Source organism: Homo sapiens, chromosome 15, assembly GCF_000001405.40.
Source record: "Homo sapiens chromosome 15, GRCh38.p14 Primary Assembly".
In the NCBI taxonomy this organism is placed as follows: Eukaryota; Metazoa; Chordata; class Mammalia; order Primates; family Hominidae; genus Homo; species Homo sapiens.
Window position 1 is genome coordinate 63,774,042 of NC_000015.10, and position 15,253 is coordinate 63,789,294.

At 38.7% G+C, this 15,253-nt stretch overlaps 1 protein-coding gene across 50 annotated transcripts in view; it reads right to left on the reverse strand.

Annotated features, from left to right (window-relative positions):
• Positions 1–15,253, reverse strand: part of HERC1 (HECT and RLD domain containing E3 ubiquitin protein ligase family member 1) — a 225,331-nt gene that overhangs the window by 165,424 nt on the left and 44,654 nt on the right. For 41 of the 50 annotated variants that reach the window (XM_047433260.1, XM_047433247.1, XM_047433234.1 and 38 more), the window contains exon 2: positions 653–1,608. In XM_047433260.1, coding sequence (XP_047289216.1) covers positions 653–1,582 — 930 coding nt within the window. In that variant the 5' untranslated portion in view covers positions 1,583–1,608. Of the gene's footprint in view, positions 1–652; positions 1,609–1,871; positions 5,317–5,541; positions 5,989–15,253 lie in introns of those variants that run through there. The other 9 variants (XM_047433248.1, XM_047433236.1, XM_047433244.1 and 6 more) reach the window with 3 other exon arrangements.

A 15,253-nucleotide genomic window follows, 5' to 3' on the forward strand; every position in this document is an offset into this window, starting at 1 on the left:
TCCCTTCATTCTGGTCTCTACTTTAATGTCACAATTCAGAGAGTCATCCCCTGACCACATTAACTAAAACAGCAACTTTTCACCTCCCAAACTCTGTCCTAAGTCTACCAGTCTCTATTCCCTTTCCCTCTTTTATTTTTCTTCTTAGAAATTTTCACTACCTGAAATTATATATTTATTATCTGACTCCTCTACTAGGCTGTTAGCTCCATGGGGGTGGAAACTGTATCCTCAAGGCTGTTGCCCCAAGGTGTAGAATAGTACTTGGCATATAGTAAATGTTTAACATAAATTGGGAAATATGAAAATAAGAGGTTTTTTTTTCTAAAGACCTGCTGATCACTAGCCAAAATCTCTAATTTTTCATAAGTTCGCTAAAACATAAAGTTAGATGAATTTCCCTAGTTCACATGAGAATCCACAAAGCTAAAACTATAAACCTGACTTCTGATGCAGTAGTCTTAACACTGTACCAACCATATATTATCAACATGCATAAAAGTTTCTTCACTCCAAGTATATGAAATATTTAATTAACTCAACAATCACCAAAAGTCTCAAATCATTCACTATTACCACCAATTCATTAAAAACTGCATTGACTTTTCCAAAAACTATTATGAACTTTAAAGTTGAGACTTATAGTACGTACCAAAGAACGCCTCATCTGCATTAATATGGTCATAAAGCAGTCAAAGCTGATCATTCCTTCCTGGCTTGAGAGTAGTTTGCCTTTCTCCATGGTGTGTACAACTGCCGAAGCCCCCAAAGCCATTTCTATCCATTCAAGAAGATATCGCAATGAGCCTCGTTGAGCTGCCAAACCAAGCAGCAACTCAGAAGCTAATCTACGACCTAAAGTGTCTGCCCCAGAATTAGGAATAGTGACTCCTTTAAGAAATGTTGTTACTTGCGATAAGCAGTCCAAGCCCATAGGAGGAATCTTGCTTTCATTTGCTAATGATAATGGTGGCAAAGAGCTCACAACTTCAATTGCAGTATGAATGACATCGTTGCAAAGACTGAGACCAGGTCCTGACACAGGCATCATCCAACTTTGTCTTAGAAGCGCAAATAATAAACTTAGACCAGTTCGAACACCCATTTCTATAAGTGCATCAGTGCTTGACCGGGGGCGTTCACTAACAGAATGGACATCTGCTGAACCAGAACTGCTCTCCGGAGAATGCTGCTGCTGCTTCACCTTGCCTTTGTCATGGTATTTATTAGAAAGTGCATAAAAGACACGCTGGAGTACAAGCAGTCGTTTTCTAAGTGCCCCGGCAAATGGGGAATCTGAACATACCATCTTTGCCAATGCTAGCTGGCTGCTAAGAAGGGCATCCAAATAGTGGTCCTGCTCATCACTTGAAAGAGACTCACGTTCAAAGTCTGGCAACTGTGGTCCTTTGAGGCATAAAACTTGTTGGGGCAAAGGTACTACTTCCTTATTGCTAACCAGTTTAGAATACAGAACAGCAACTCCCTCTCTTGTAGCAATAGATTCACTGTCCTCTGTAATCCAGGAGCTGTTCAAGTGTTCAAGCCATTTCAGCTTCACTGGTGGAATCATAGTTGCCATGTTGATTTATCCTTCAGCCATTAGTCCTGCAAAGGGAGAAGAGAAAACAGTCAAAAACATACAGAGGACTCATAAAATGTTTCCAAAATTTCATCTTACATTACAATTAATGATTTCAAACTGGTGAAATGCAGCCGGGTGCGGTGGCTCACGCCTGTAATCCCAACACTTTGGGAGGCCAAAGTGGGCAGATCACTTGAGGCCAGGAGTTCAAGACGAGCCTGGCCAACATTATGAAACCCCATCTCTACTAAAAATACAAAAATTAGCCAGGCATGGTGGCACATACCTCTAGTCCCAGCTGCTTGGGAGGCTGAGGCAGGAGAATCGCTTGAACCTGGGAGGCGGAGGTTGCAGTGAGCCGAGATCGCGCCACTGCACTCCAGCCTGGGTGACAAAGCGAGACTCCGTCTCAAAAAAAAAAAAAAAAGTTTATGTTAAAAAACAGTAATTTCTTCAGATGTACCTTTTCCATTCAGTTCTGATTCCATTATCTGTGTAACAGTGGGTTCTACAGCTGATGACTCCCAATTTTTTATCTCCAACCCAGGCCTTCTCCCTAAATCCAAATTCATATACACAAGTGCCTACTTGGCCCCTCCACATGGCTATCTAACAGTTTTGGTTATGGTTGGATATCTCAAAATTAACATATCCAAAACTGAGCTCCTATTCTACCAGTACCACCACCCCACCCAAACCTGTCCCTCCTGTAGACTTCTTTCTCTCAATAAATGGTAACTCCATCCTTCTAGTTCCCTGAGCCAAAAACTTTGGGACTCATAATTGTAGAATGGAACACCCACTTTGGAAAGGTGGCTGGCAGTTTCTCATAAAACGAAACATATATCTAACCCTATGACCCAACAATTCCTCTTCTAAAGATTTATCCAAAAGAAAACATAAGACCATAAAAATACTTCAATCAAAATAGTGGTTGCCTCTAGAGGGTGACAGCATGAACTGACTGTGAGGAGCATGAGGACACTTCTTGAGATAATATTCTATGTCTCAATACTGGTGTGGAATACACAGGTTGCGCATTTGTTAAAACCTAGTGGGCTGGGCATGGTGGCTCACACCCATAATCCTAACATTCAGGGACGCCAAGGCAGGAGGACTGCTTGAGCTCAGGAGTTTGAGACCCGCCTGGACAACACAGTGAGATCTCGTCTCTACATAAGAAAATAAAAATAAAAAAACTCAGTGAAAGTGCACTTGAGATTTTTACATTTCACTGCATGTAAATTTTGCCTCAACAAATACTGAATAATGATATGCAAGCTGAAGTATATTTGAGGGAAGTAAACAGACATCTGTAGTTTATTTTGAAATGCATCAGAAATAAGATGCATTGACATATATTTTTTATATACACACAAAATTTTTAATTACAAAATATTGCAGGGAAGGTGTCTCTCAAGCAAGTCCTCAGAATGTCACTTATAATAGCTGGTAATAGAGAGAAACCTCAATCACTGAAGGGAATTTAATTTTCATGACACAGGCAGATCTTCAAGAAAGCACTCCAATGATAAAGATCCCAGACTACAGTAATTAAAAGGAGTTTCTTATATCTCATTATGCCCTGGTAAATTCTAAATATAAAATCTGATGACACTTGCCTTCACAAGTTTATGATTACTATGCTTAATTCATCTTCCTAAGATACTTGTAAAGTATGCACTTAAGAGGGGGGAAAATCATGATCCTCCATCCCACCCTGACTTCATTTGGTATTAAACACCAGCATTGTGCAGAGGACATAAAAGTGCCTTATTTACCTCCATCCCTTCCCACATAAGCCATATGTAATTTTGCTGTTTTAAATTTGGCCAGTTTGATAGCTGTACAGGGATACGTTGTTACTCTAATTTGTATTTCTCTGATTACTAATAAATCTGAACATCTTATGTTTGTTGGTCATCTGGATATGCTCTTCTGGGAAATATTTATTCATGCATTCTCCTATTTTGTTATCTTGTCAACTTGTAAAAGTTTTTTGTATTTTATCACAGTCTGTCCTCAACATTGCAAATATTTCTTCTAAATCTATCTTTTACATACACACACATCTTTTATTTTATAGCTTCTGTTTTCCATTCTTGGTCAAAAGAGTATCCCTGCCCGACTCTCACACCCAGATTCCACATGAATTCTAGATTATATAGGTAATCACCTATACAAAACCACCTTGATATTCTTGAGAGATTTTTTTTAAAAACCTGAGTCTTTAGTCCATCTGGAATTAAAATAAATTCTACATTCATCTGGAAGTTTAATACACTCTATATAGGACAAGCTGAGTCCAATTTTATTGTTTCCAGGTAGAAGGCTAGTTATACCAACACCATTTATTAAGTAATCCAGGACTTCTACATAGTTGAAGACAATGGCAGCTGCATAGCTATCTGCCCAAAATTTAAGAAAAACAAGAAGGAAAAATTAAATTCTATACCAAACCACACCTGTAGCATAACTTGAAGATACAGAATGCCAAAATTGCAAATAATTGTAAATAAAAAAGAGAAAAAGTCAACCAATCCAGGGTACATGCTTTCACCTCCATCCAGCCATAAGGCTTTGTGGCAAGCAAAGGCAGACTAAGAAAAACTGCAGAAAAGACAGAGGAGAAAGGCTAGTGAAGGGGGCTAAAAATGATTTGGAGTGACTCCCAGAAAGATTAAATCCACACCGTATCTGAAAACACTGGAAAAGTATCTGGGCAGATCAGAGCACAGACTACAGGGAAGAGATTTTAAAGTACATTTAATTTAAAGCAGAAGGCACGGTTTAAGACAGCAGGTGCAATTTAAAAAGACAAGTGTTAAATAAGCATTTGTTGAAACGCAGAGGAAAGAAAAAGCAAAAAGGAAGAGAGAAGCATGCTTTAACAACTGAGTGGTGAAGGGTAAAAGAAGAAAAAGGGGAAATATTTAGTGTCCTGCAAGGCAAAATAGACCCATAAAATTGAAGACAGAACAACCCTTTCCTCAAGTAAAACAAACAAAATTTCTGCTATTGTATTTGGACTTTGCTATATTGACTGAAGAGAATGCAATTAAATTAAGAATATTATAAAATACTCGATACCACAAAAACGAACATGAGAAAACTCAAGTGCATACAGAGCTATTGCAGAAAACAAAACAAAATTAAATTTTACATTTATCAATTGAGGGAAATTCCCTGATGACGACAAAGCAAAGTGTAAGTTAACAATCCAAACAAAATTAAATAAACTGAAACATATGATGATATGAAAAATCCTGAATCAAAAATTCAAAAACTGAAAGCAGAAATAGACAAAAAGAAAGAAAAAGAAGAAAAGGAAAGGAAGAAAGAAAGGGAAAGAGGTAATTGAACTCAGGAAAGAAATATGAAGAAAAAGGCAAAATTATCTCAGCAATGAAGAATGAATTATAAAAGTGTTCAAGGAAGAGTAGACTCAATGACATAAAGAAAAATGAAAAGGGTGAGAGAAATAATTAGAAAAAGATAAGAAAAAAGAATAATATTCATATTATTGGATTACGTGAGGAAGAAAAATACAAAACAAACAAAAACAGAGCTGGTTTTATAGCTACAATGCAAGAAAACTTTCTAAAATAGAAAAAATATCTGAATCAATATACAAGGTACTTGAGAAAATTAACCCAGACAATCAACTCCAAGAAATAGCCTAGAAAAACTATTATATTTCAAAGACAAAGATAAAATCCTAAAGACCTCCAAGCAAAGAGATGAAATTACTTTAAAAAGCAAAAGAATTAGCCAGGCATTATTTTAAAACAAAATAGCACAGCCACAGCTTTTATAAAGCAAAAACTACAGGAGATGCAAGGAAACATAAATAGAAACACTAATAACGTGAGACATGAATATACCACTCTTAGTACAAGATGGATCAAGTGAACAAAAATAAGAAAACAGAAGATCTAAACAACAAAATAACTCACTTTTCCACTAACAGGATCTATTTCTGGATTCTCTATTCTGGTCCACTTGTCTATTCTTACAACAGTGACTTGATTACAATAGGCTTATAAATGTATAAATGTTCTGATGACTGGTAAGGCAAGTCCCAAAAGTTTAAGATGATATTATTCAGGCCAGGCACGGTGGCTCACGCCTGTAATCCCAGCACTTTTGGAGGTCGAGGTGGGAGGATCACGAGGTCAAGAGATGGAGACCATCCTTGCCAACATGGTGAAACCCCGTCTTTAATAAAAATACAAAAATTAGCCAGTAGTGGTGGTGCGCGCCTGTAGTCCCAGCTACTTGGGAGGCAGAGGCAGGAGAATCGCTCGAACCCGGGAGGTGGAGGTTGCAGTGAGCCGAGATCACAAGACTGCACTCCAGCCTGGCGACAGAGGGAGACTCCATCTCAAAAAAAAAAAAAAAAAAAAGATTATTTTATTCAATTATATGCCATCCCTTCCAACACACTATTGAGGTTCCAATCTGAATTGCATTAGATTTATGTACTTTCAGAAAATAGACATTTTTATGAAATTTGTTCATCCAAGGACAAAGTATGCATTTCTATTTGCTCCTATCCTATTTTAGATTTTCTTCATATAAATCCTGTGCTTTTCTGTTGATTCTTAAGTATTTTTGATTTTGTGATTACTATGAATGGAATTTCCTCATTTCCATTTCTGGTTAATTACTGCTGTCTAGTCATCTGGGTAAATCCATATATTTTCCAAAATTATACAAAGACAGAACAGGAAATGAATCAAAGAAACAGAGGCCATCTAACAACAGGAAATAAAGAAAGAAAACAAGCAAGTATTAAAAAGGTAAAACAGAAGGCCGGGCGCGGTGGCTCATACCTGTAATCCCAGTACTTTGGGAGGCCGAGGTGGGCGGATCACGAGGTCAGGAGATTGAGACCATCCTGGCTAACACGGTGAAACCCCATTTCTACTAAAAATACAAAAAAATTAGCTGGGCGTGGTGGTGGGCACCTGTAGTCCCAGCTACTCGGGAGGCTGAGGCAGGAGAATGGTGTGAACCCGGGAGGCGGAGGTTACGGTGAGCCAAGATCGTGCCACTGCACTCCAGCCTGGGCAACACAATGAGACTCCGTTTCAAAAAAAAAAAGGTAAAACAGAGACTAAAGGTTAGCTGTAAGACCGAGCACAGCTACTACATCAACATCTGTAAAATTCACCTATTAAAACCAAAAGATAAAGACTGATGTGAAATAATAATAACCTATATGCTAACTGAATAAAACATATATGAAAGTAGTTATGGCCCAAAATTTATAATCTCTGCTATAAATTAAATGTATATAACTATAAATCTAATAAGTAAATCATTTTTTAAATGTATATCCTAAGTGATGGATCTAAAACAAGTGATTTCAAAATGTTGAAGATAAAATGTAGGGTAATGATATAACAAACAAATGCAAACAGAAAAAGTATCATCTGTTAGGTAATAAATGGGACAAAAAGGGTTACTTGGTAATGATGAACAGTATAATCACTAATAAAACTGTCACAAACAGTTTTATTTTACTACAAGCAGAGTTATAAAACAATGAAGCGGAAACCACAGAGAATATAGGAAGAATGGCAACCACAGTAATAGAGACTTAAATACAGCCATACCTCATTTATTGCACTTGACTTTACTGTGCTGTACAGATACTGCATCTTTTTTACAAATTGAAGGTTTATGACAACCCTCATTTGAGCAAGTGTATTGGTGCCATTTTTCCAAAAGTACGTGTTCACTTCATGTATCTGTGTCACATTTTGGTAATTCTTACAATATTTCAAACTTTTCATTATTATTATAACTGTTATGGTAACCTGTAATCAGCAAGCTTTGATTGTTATTATTGTAATTGTTTGGGGGTGCCACAAAGCACACCCATATAAGATGGCAAACTTAATCGATAAATGGTACGTGTTTTGACTGCTCTACCAACCAACCATTCCCCAGTCTCCCTACCCTTGGGACTCCCTATTGCCTAAGACACAACAATATTGAAATTAGGCCAACTAATAACCCTACAATTGCCTCTAAGTGTTCAAGACAAAGGAAGACACCATGTCCCTCACTTTAAATCAAAAGCCAGAAATGATTAAGTTTAGTGAGGAAGGCAGGCCAAAAGCTAAGCCTCTTGCGCCAGTTAGCCAAGTTGCAATACAAAGGGAAAGTTCTTAAAGAAACCAAGAAAGCCACTCCAATGAATACATAAATGATAAAGAAGTGAAATCGCCTTTTTCCTGATATGGGGAAAGTCTGAGTGGTCTGGATAGAATATCAAACCAGTCACAATATTCCCTTAAACCAAAGCCTAAGCCAGACCAAGGCCCTCTCTTCAATTCTATGAAGGCTGAGAGAGGTAAGGAAAATGCAGAAGAGTTTGAAGCTAGCAGAGGTTCACTCATGAGGCTTAAGGAAAGAACCTGTCTCCACAACATAAAAGTGCAAGGTGAAGCAGCAAGTGCTGATGTAGAAGCTGCACAAAGTTATCCAGAATATCTACCTAAGGTAACTGATGAAAGTAGTTATATTAAACAACAGATTTTCAATGTGGACAAAACAGCCTTCTATTGGAAGATGCCATCTAGGACTTTCATAGCTAGAAATAATTCAATACCTGCCTTCAAAGGACAGGTTGAGTCTCTTGCTAAGGGCTAACGAAGCTGGTGGACTTAAAGTTGAAGCCAATGCTCTTTTACATTCTGAAAAACCTAGGGCACCTAAGAATTATTATAAACCTACTCTCCCTGTGCTCTACTAATCCAACAACGAAGCCTGGATGACAGCACATCTGTTTACTACACAGTTTACTAAATATTTTAAGCCCACTGTTAAGACCTACAGCTCAGAAAAAAGCTTCCTTTCAAAACATTACTGTTCACTGACAACGCACCTAGTCACTCAAGAGCTCTACTGGAGATGTACAAGGAGATTCATGTTGTGTTCATGCCTACTAAACACAACATCCATTCTGCAGCACATGGATAAAGAAGTCATTTCTACTTTCAAGTCTTAGTATTTAAGAAATACATTTTGTAAGGCTATAGCTGCCACAGATAGTGATTCCTCTGAGATCTGGGTAAAGTCAATAGAAAATGTTCTGGAAAGGATTCACCATTGTAGATGCCATTAAGAGCATCCATGGTTCATGGGGAAAAGGCCAAAGTATCAATATTAACAAGAGTTTGGAAGAAGTTGATTCTAACCCCTACGGATGACTTTGAGAGGTTCAAGACTTCAGTGGAGGAAGTAACTGCAGACGTGGTGGAAATAGCAAGAGAAGTAGAATTAGAAGTGGAGCCCGAAGATGTGACTGAATGCAGCAATCTCATGATAAAATTTTAACGGATGAGGAGTTGCTTCTTATGGATGAGCAAAGAAAGTAGTTTATTGAAATGAAAGATATTCCTGGTGAAGATGCTGTGAATATTACTGAAATGACAACAAAGGATTAGAATATTACATAAATTTAATTGATAATGCAGTAGCAGAGTTAGAGAGGACTGACTCCTTTTGAATTTTGAAAGAAGTTCTACTGTGGGTAAAATGCTATCAAACAACATTGCATGCTACAGAGAAATCATTCATGAAAGGAGGAGCCAATCAATGCAGCAAACTTCACTGTTGTCTTGTTTTAATAAATTGCCAAAGTAATCCCAACCTTTCAGCAACCCCCATCCCGATCAGTCAGCAGCCATTAACATCAAGGCAAGACCCTCCATGAGCAAAAAGATTACAACTCTTTGAAGGATCAGAGGACTCTCAGCATTTTTTAGCAAAAAAAAAAGTATTTTTTAATTAAGGTACATACATTGCTTTTCTAGACATAATGCTATTATACACTTAACAGACTACAGTATACGGTACACATAACCTTTATATACACTGAGAAACCAAAAAAACTGTGTGACTTGCTTTACTATGACATTGGCTTTATTGTGATTTATTTGCTTTACTGTACTTTTCGCTTTATTGCAGTGGTCTGGAACCAAACCACAGTATCTCTAAGGTATATGCCAGTACTTGACAAATAAGGCAAAGTACAACAGTATATAAACCACCAGTCCTTAAATCTATTGGTAGACCATGAATTCCTTTGAGAATCTGATAAAAGCAGTAGACCGTGACTCCCCAAAGAATAAAACTCATGATCGGGCCGGGTGCAGTGGCTCACACCTGTAATCCCAACACTTTGGGAGGCTGAAGCGGGCAGATCTCGAGGTCAGGAGATCAAGACCATCCTGGCCAACATGGTGAAACCCCGTCTCTAATAAAAATACAAAAATTAGCTGGGCATGGTAGTGGGCGCCTGTAATCCCAGCTACTCGGGAGGCTGAGCCAGGAGAATGGCTTGAACCCGGGAGGCAGAGGTTACAGTGAGCCAAGATTATGCCACTGCACTCCAGCCTGGTGACACAGGAAGACTCTATCTCAAAAAAAAAAAAAAAGAATAAAACTCATGCTCATACTCATAAAAATGAGCAAATTTCCAAAGGTTTCATGGATGTCCTGAAGTCATCTATGTAATCCAAGATGATAAATCTAATCTAAAATATTATCCATATCCTAAAATATGTTCTTTTTAAGTACCAGTGGAAAATATTTTCAAATTGACTATTATCTAACAAATAATTCAAAAATATACACATAATTATAGACCACAGTTCTAGCCAGAAAGTAGTGAAACCAAAAAGAATTCACAAAACAACTAAAATGGAGCAATCTCCAAGATACACTGTTAAAAAAGAAAAATATGTAAAGTATTTGTGTATACTGTAATAGTTCATATACAGTAACATAACTATATTAAAAAGGGTTTAATAATAAATGCTGAAAACATTTTTTTAAAACCTAGGAACACTAGTTGCCTCTGGGAGAAGGAGAATTGGGTTACTGGGAGCTGGGGTAGGAAAGATATTTGCTCTTCACTGCATAAATTTGAATTTCTTATATATGCATGTATTATCATGCAAATTTTTTTTTTTTTCCTTTTTGAGACAGAGTCTCACTCTGTCACCCAGGCTGGAGTGCAGTGGCGCAATCTCGGCTCACTGCAACCTCCGCCTCCCAGGTTCAAGCGACTCTCCTGCCTCAGCCTCCCAAGTAACTGGGACTATAGGTGGCTGCCACCGCATCCAGCTAATTTTTTTTGTATTTTCAGTACAGTTGGGGTTTCACTGTGTTGGCCAGGATGGGCTCGCTTTCCTGACCTCAGGTGATCAGCCCACCTCGGCCTCCCAAAGTGCTGGGATTACAGGCGTGAGCCTCTGCCCCTGGCCTATCAGTGCAAATTTTCAAAAAGCATTTTTAAAGAAATCCAAAACAAGGCAAAACCTAAATTTTTGGAAACTAAGTTTCTCAGACAAAGAGAGGAAGGGGAAAGGAGTTACAAATTATCTAGAAAGTTATATAAAAGAAACATATATCAAAATCAAGGGAATGTAGTCAAAGTTGACTCAAATAAATATATAAAGACTCAAATGCTCCATTTCTAAGTAAGAATTAACTGAAAGCCAGGTGTGGTGGCTCACTCCTATAATCCCAACATTTTAAGAGGCCAAGGTGGGAGGAAGCTTTAGGCCAGGAGTTCAAGACCAGCCTGAGCAACATAGCAAGACATTACCTTGACAAAATGTTTAAAAATTATCTGGGCATGGTGGTACACGACTGTGGTCCCAGCAACTTAGGCTTGGGTGGGAGGATCGCTTGAGCTCAGAAGTTCAAAGCTGTGAGCTATAAGTGCACCACTGCACTCCAGCCTGGGCAATAAGGTGAGACAAAGTCTCTTAAAAAAATTAAATATATTAATAATTCAATTCAAAATTAGAAAAACAAAATAAACTTTAAGAATATTAGGCTGGGCACGCTGGCTAACACCTGTAATCCCAAGGCTTTGGGAGGCCAAGGTGGGCGGATCACTTGAGCTCAGGAGTTCAAGACCAGCCTGCACAACATGGAGAAACCCCATCTCTACAAAAAATACAAAAAATTAGCCAGGAATGGTGGCGCATGATGTGGTCCCAGCTACTCAGCAGGATGAGGTGGGATGATCCCTTGCGCTCAGGAGGTCAAGGCTGCAGTGAGTCAAGATCATGCTACTACACTGCAGCCTGGTCAACAGAGACCCTGTCTCTAAATAAAGAAGGAAAGAAGGAAGGAAAAGGGGAAGGGGAAGGGAAGGGAAATTGGTAAATGAGAAAAATTCAAAAACAACAGGATTGATATCTCAGAGAGATTATTCTTCTTTTTCTTTTTTAGAGACAGAGGTCTCACCGTGTTGTCCAGGCTGGTCTCAAACTCCTGGACTCAGGCAATCTTCCCACTTGGGCCTCCCAAAGTGCTGGGATTACAGGTGTGAGCCACCATGCCCAACCCAAGAGATAATTCTTTAGTGGAAAAAAATGAAAACAATCAGCTAACAAAATTAAGAAAAAAAAGACAAAACATAAGGTACTCAATATTATAAATAAGAATGGAAAGACAAGCTAGATGCACTGCAGTGTGCCTGTAGTCCCAGCTACTTAGCAGGTTAAAGTGGGAGGACTGCTGGAGGCCAGGAGTTCGAGGCTGTAGTATGCTATGATTGTGCCTGAGAATAGCCACTACACGCCAGGCTAGACAACACAGCAAGATCATGTTTCTATTAAAAAAAAAAAAAAAAAAGAAGAAGAAGAAGAATCGAAAGACAGCTGTGAAGAGCAGTTTGCTGGTGGTATCTCAAAAAGTTAAAAACAGAGTTTCCTTATGGCCCAACAATTCGACTCCTAGATCTATACCCAAGTGAACTGAAAACACATGTTCATATGAAAACTTGTACACAAACATTCACTGGAGCATTACTCGTAATAGCCAAAAAGTGGAAACAACACAAATGACCATCAAGATATGAATGAATAAACAAAATGTCATATTATCTACACAGTGGAATATTATTCAGCCATAAATAGGAATGAAATACTGATACATGCTATAATTTGAGCCTTGTAAACATTCTGCCAATTGAAAGATGCCAGATATAAAAGGCTATATAATGTATGATTCTATTTATAAGAAATGTACAGTACAGGATGGCCAAATGCTTAGAGATAGAAAGTAGATTAGTAGTTGCCAGAGGCTGGAGAGGAAGGGAAAATGGAGAAACTGGTAAGATTTTACTTTGGAATTATGAAAATGTTTTGGAACTAGAGACGGTAGTTGCACAATACTGTGAAAGTACTAAATGCCACTAAATCGCTCACTTTAAGATGGTTAATTGTACGTGATGTGAACTTCAACTCAATAAATTATTATTTTTTTTTTTTTTATTTTTTGAGACGGAGTTTCACTCTTGTTGCCCAGTCGGTAGTGCAATGGCATGGTCTCACCATGCCCAGCTAATTTTTGCATTTTTAGTAGAGATGGAGTTTCACCATGTTGGCCAGGCTGGTCTTGAAGTCCTGACCTCAAGTGATCTGCCTGCCTCAGCCTCACAAAGTGCTGGGATTACAGGCATGAGCCACCATCCCCAGTCTCAATAAATTATTATTATCATATTATTATTTTTGAGATGGAGTCTCACTCCGTCACCAAGGATGGAGTGCAGTGGTGCAATCTCCGTTCACTGCAACCTCCGCCTCCAGGATTCAAGCAATTCTCCTGCCTCAGCCTCCCGAGTAGGTGGGACTACAGGCATGCACCACCACACCCAGCTAATTTTTGTATTTTTAGTAGAGGCAGGGTTTCACAATGTTGGCTAGGCTGGTCTCAAACGCCTGACCTCAGGTGATCCACCTGCCTCAGCCTCCCAAAGTGCTGGAATTTCAGGCATGAGCCGCCACGGCTGACCAATAAATTATTTAAATTAAAAAAATATATCTGGCAGATAATGCTTCCCCAAAATGAACTGAGGGTATGTTACTGAAAGAAGAGAGAACCAATGGTGGGCAACAAATACTCAAAAAAAGTTCGCTACATCAAGAATGACTTTGATGGGTCAAACTATTATAGAGCCAGACTCGGTGGCACACATCTACAGTCCTAGCTACTTGGGAGGCTAAGGCAGGAGGATCACTTGAGGCCAGGATTTCAAGGCTGTAGTGCACTATGATCACTCCTGGATAATACAGCAAGACTCCATCTCTTTTTAAAAAACTTACTAACCTGGACAATATGGCAAAACCCCGACTCTACAAATAATACAAAAAATTAACCGGGCGTGGTGGTGTATGCCTGTGGTCCCAGCTGGGGAGGCATACTGGGGAGGCCGCCTGAGTCCAGAAGGTCAAGGCTGCAGTGAGCCAAGATTGTGCCACTGTACTCCAGTCTTGGCGACAGGGTGAGACCCTGTCTCAAAAAAAAAAAAAAAAAAAAAAGACAAAACAAAACAAAAAACCTTACAAGCCAGTTTCATCAAATTGAACTCAAAGGAAAGAAAGTTCAAGTGCATTTAAAGAATAGGAAGTAGATCAGAATAGCTACAATACATAAAGACATTTGTATAAAATTGTAGGAAAATGAAAAGCAGTACAGAATGTGAAAAAGACAGTTAACAAACAAATGAATTTGGGTTTCTATTCTATAATCCAGTACAAGTCAGACTGATGATTTGGGGAACAAAAGTGTTATCTGCACCTAACACAGCATCTGATACCTATATGCCCTCAATGAAGGATGCATTTCAAAAAAACCAATTTAACAGTTATTTACTGTAAATTGGAGAATTGGGATAATATAGTTGGGATACTACCGAAATAAATCAGTAATGAGATTTAAAGAAACTATAATCACAACAAAATAAAGCCCTGATTGTTTTAAGGAAGAATTCTATCATGACTTCAACAGACAATTCCTAAGCTACTTTAAATGTTTTAGGGCATAGAGCAAAGAGTCTCAGTTCTTTTTAAGCAGTCAATAAAGTAACAATAGCAAAACTTAATGAAGCACAAAAAGTACAGCTGTAATACTACCACAGTTGTGGATTTCATAATCTATAATTAATAAAAATCTGCAATTAAAAATATTAGCAGCTGGGCACAGTGGCTCATGCCTGCAATCCCAGCACTTTGGGAGGCTGAGGCAGGTGGATCACCTGAGGTCAGGAGTTCGAGACCGGCCTGACCAACGTGGTGAAGCCCCGTCTCTACTAAAAATACAAAAATTAGCTGGGCGTGGTGGCAAGTGCCTGCAATCCCAGCTACTTGGAGGCTGGGGCAGGAGATCGCGCCATTGCACTCCAGCCTGGGTAACAGAGCAAGACTCCGTCTCAAAAAAAAAAAAAAAAAAATTTAGCAATGAAAATGAGAAAGTACATTAATAGGAGTTCATTCCAGGAATATAATGATGGCTCAACATAGGCAAATCTATTAACATTAACCAATTTCATGTTATGTTGAGATGTTAAAAGTAAACTTGATAAAATGCAAAATCCATTCCTAATAAAAAATCTACTAATAAAGCAGGAATAAAAGGTTTTTTTTTTTTTTTTTTTTTTTTTTTTTTGAGACGGAGTCTCGCTCTGTCGCCCAGGCTGGAGTGCAGTGGTGCAATCTCGGCTCACTGCAAGCTCCGCCTCCCGGGTTCACGCCATTCTCCTGCCTCAGCCTCCCAAGTAGCTGGGACTACAGGCGCCCGCCACTACGCCCGGCTAATTTTTTGTATTTTTAGTAGAGACGGGGTTTCACCGTT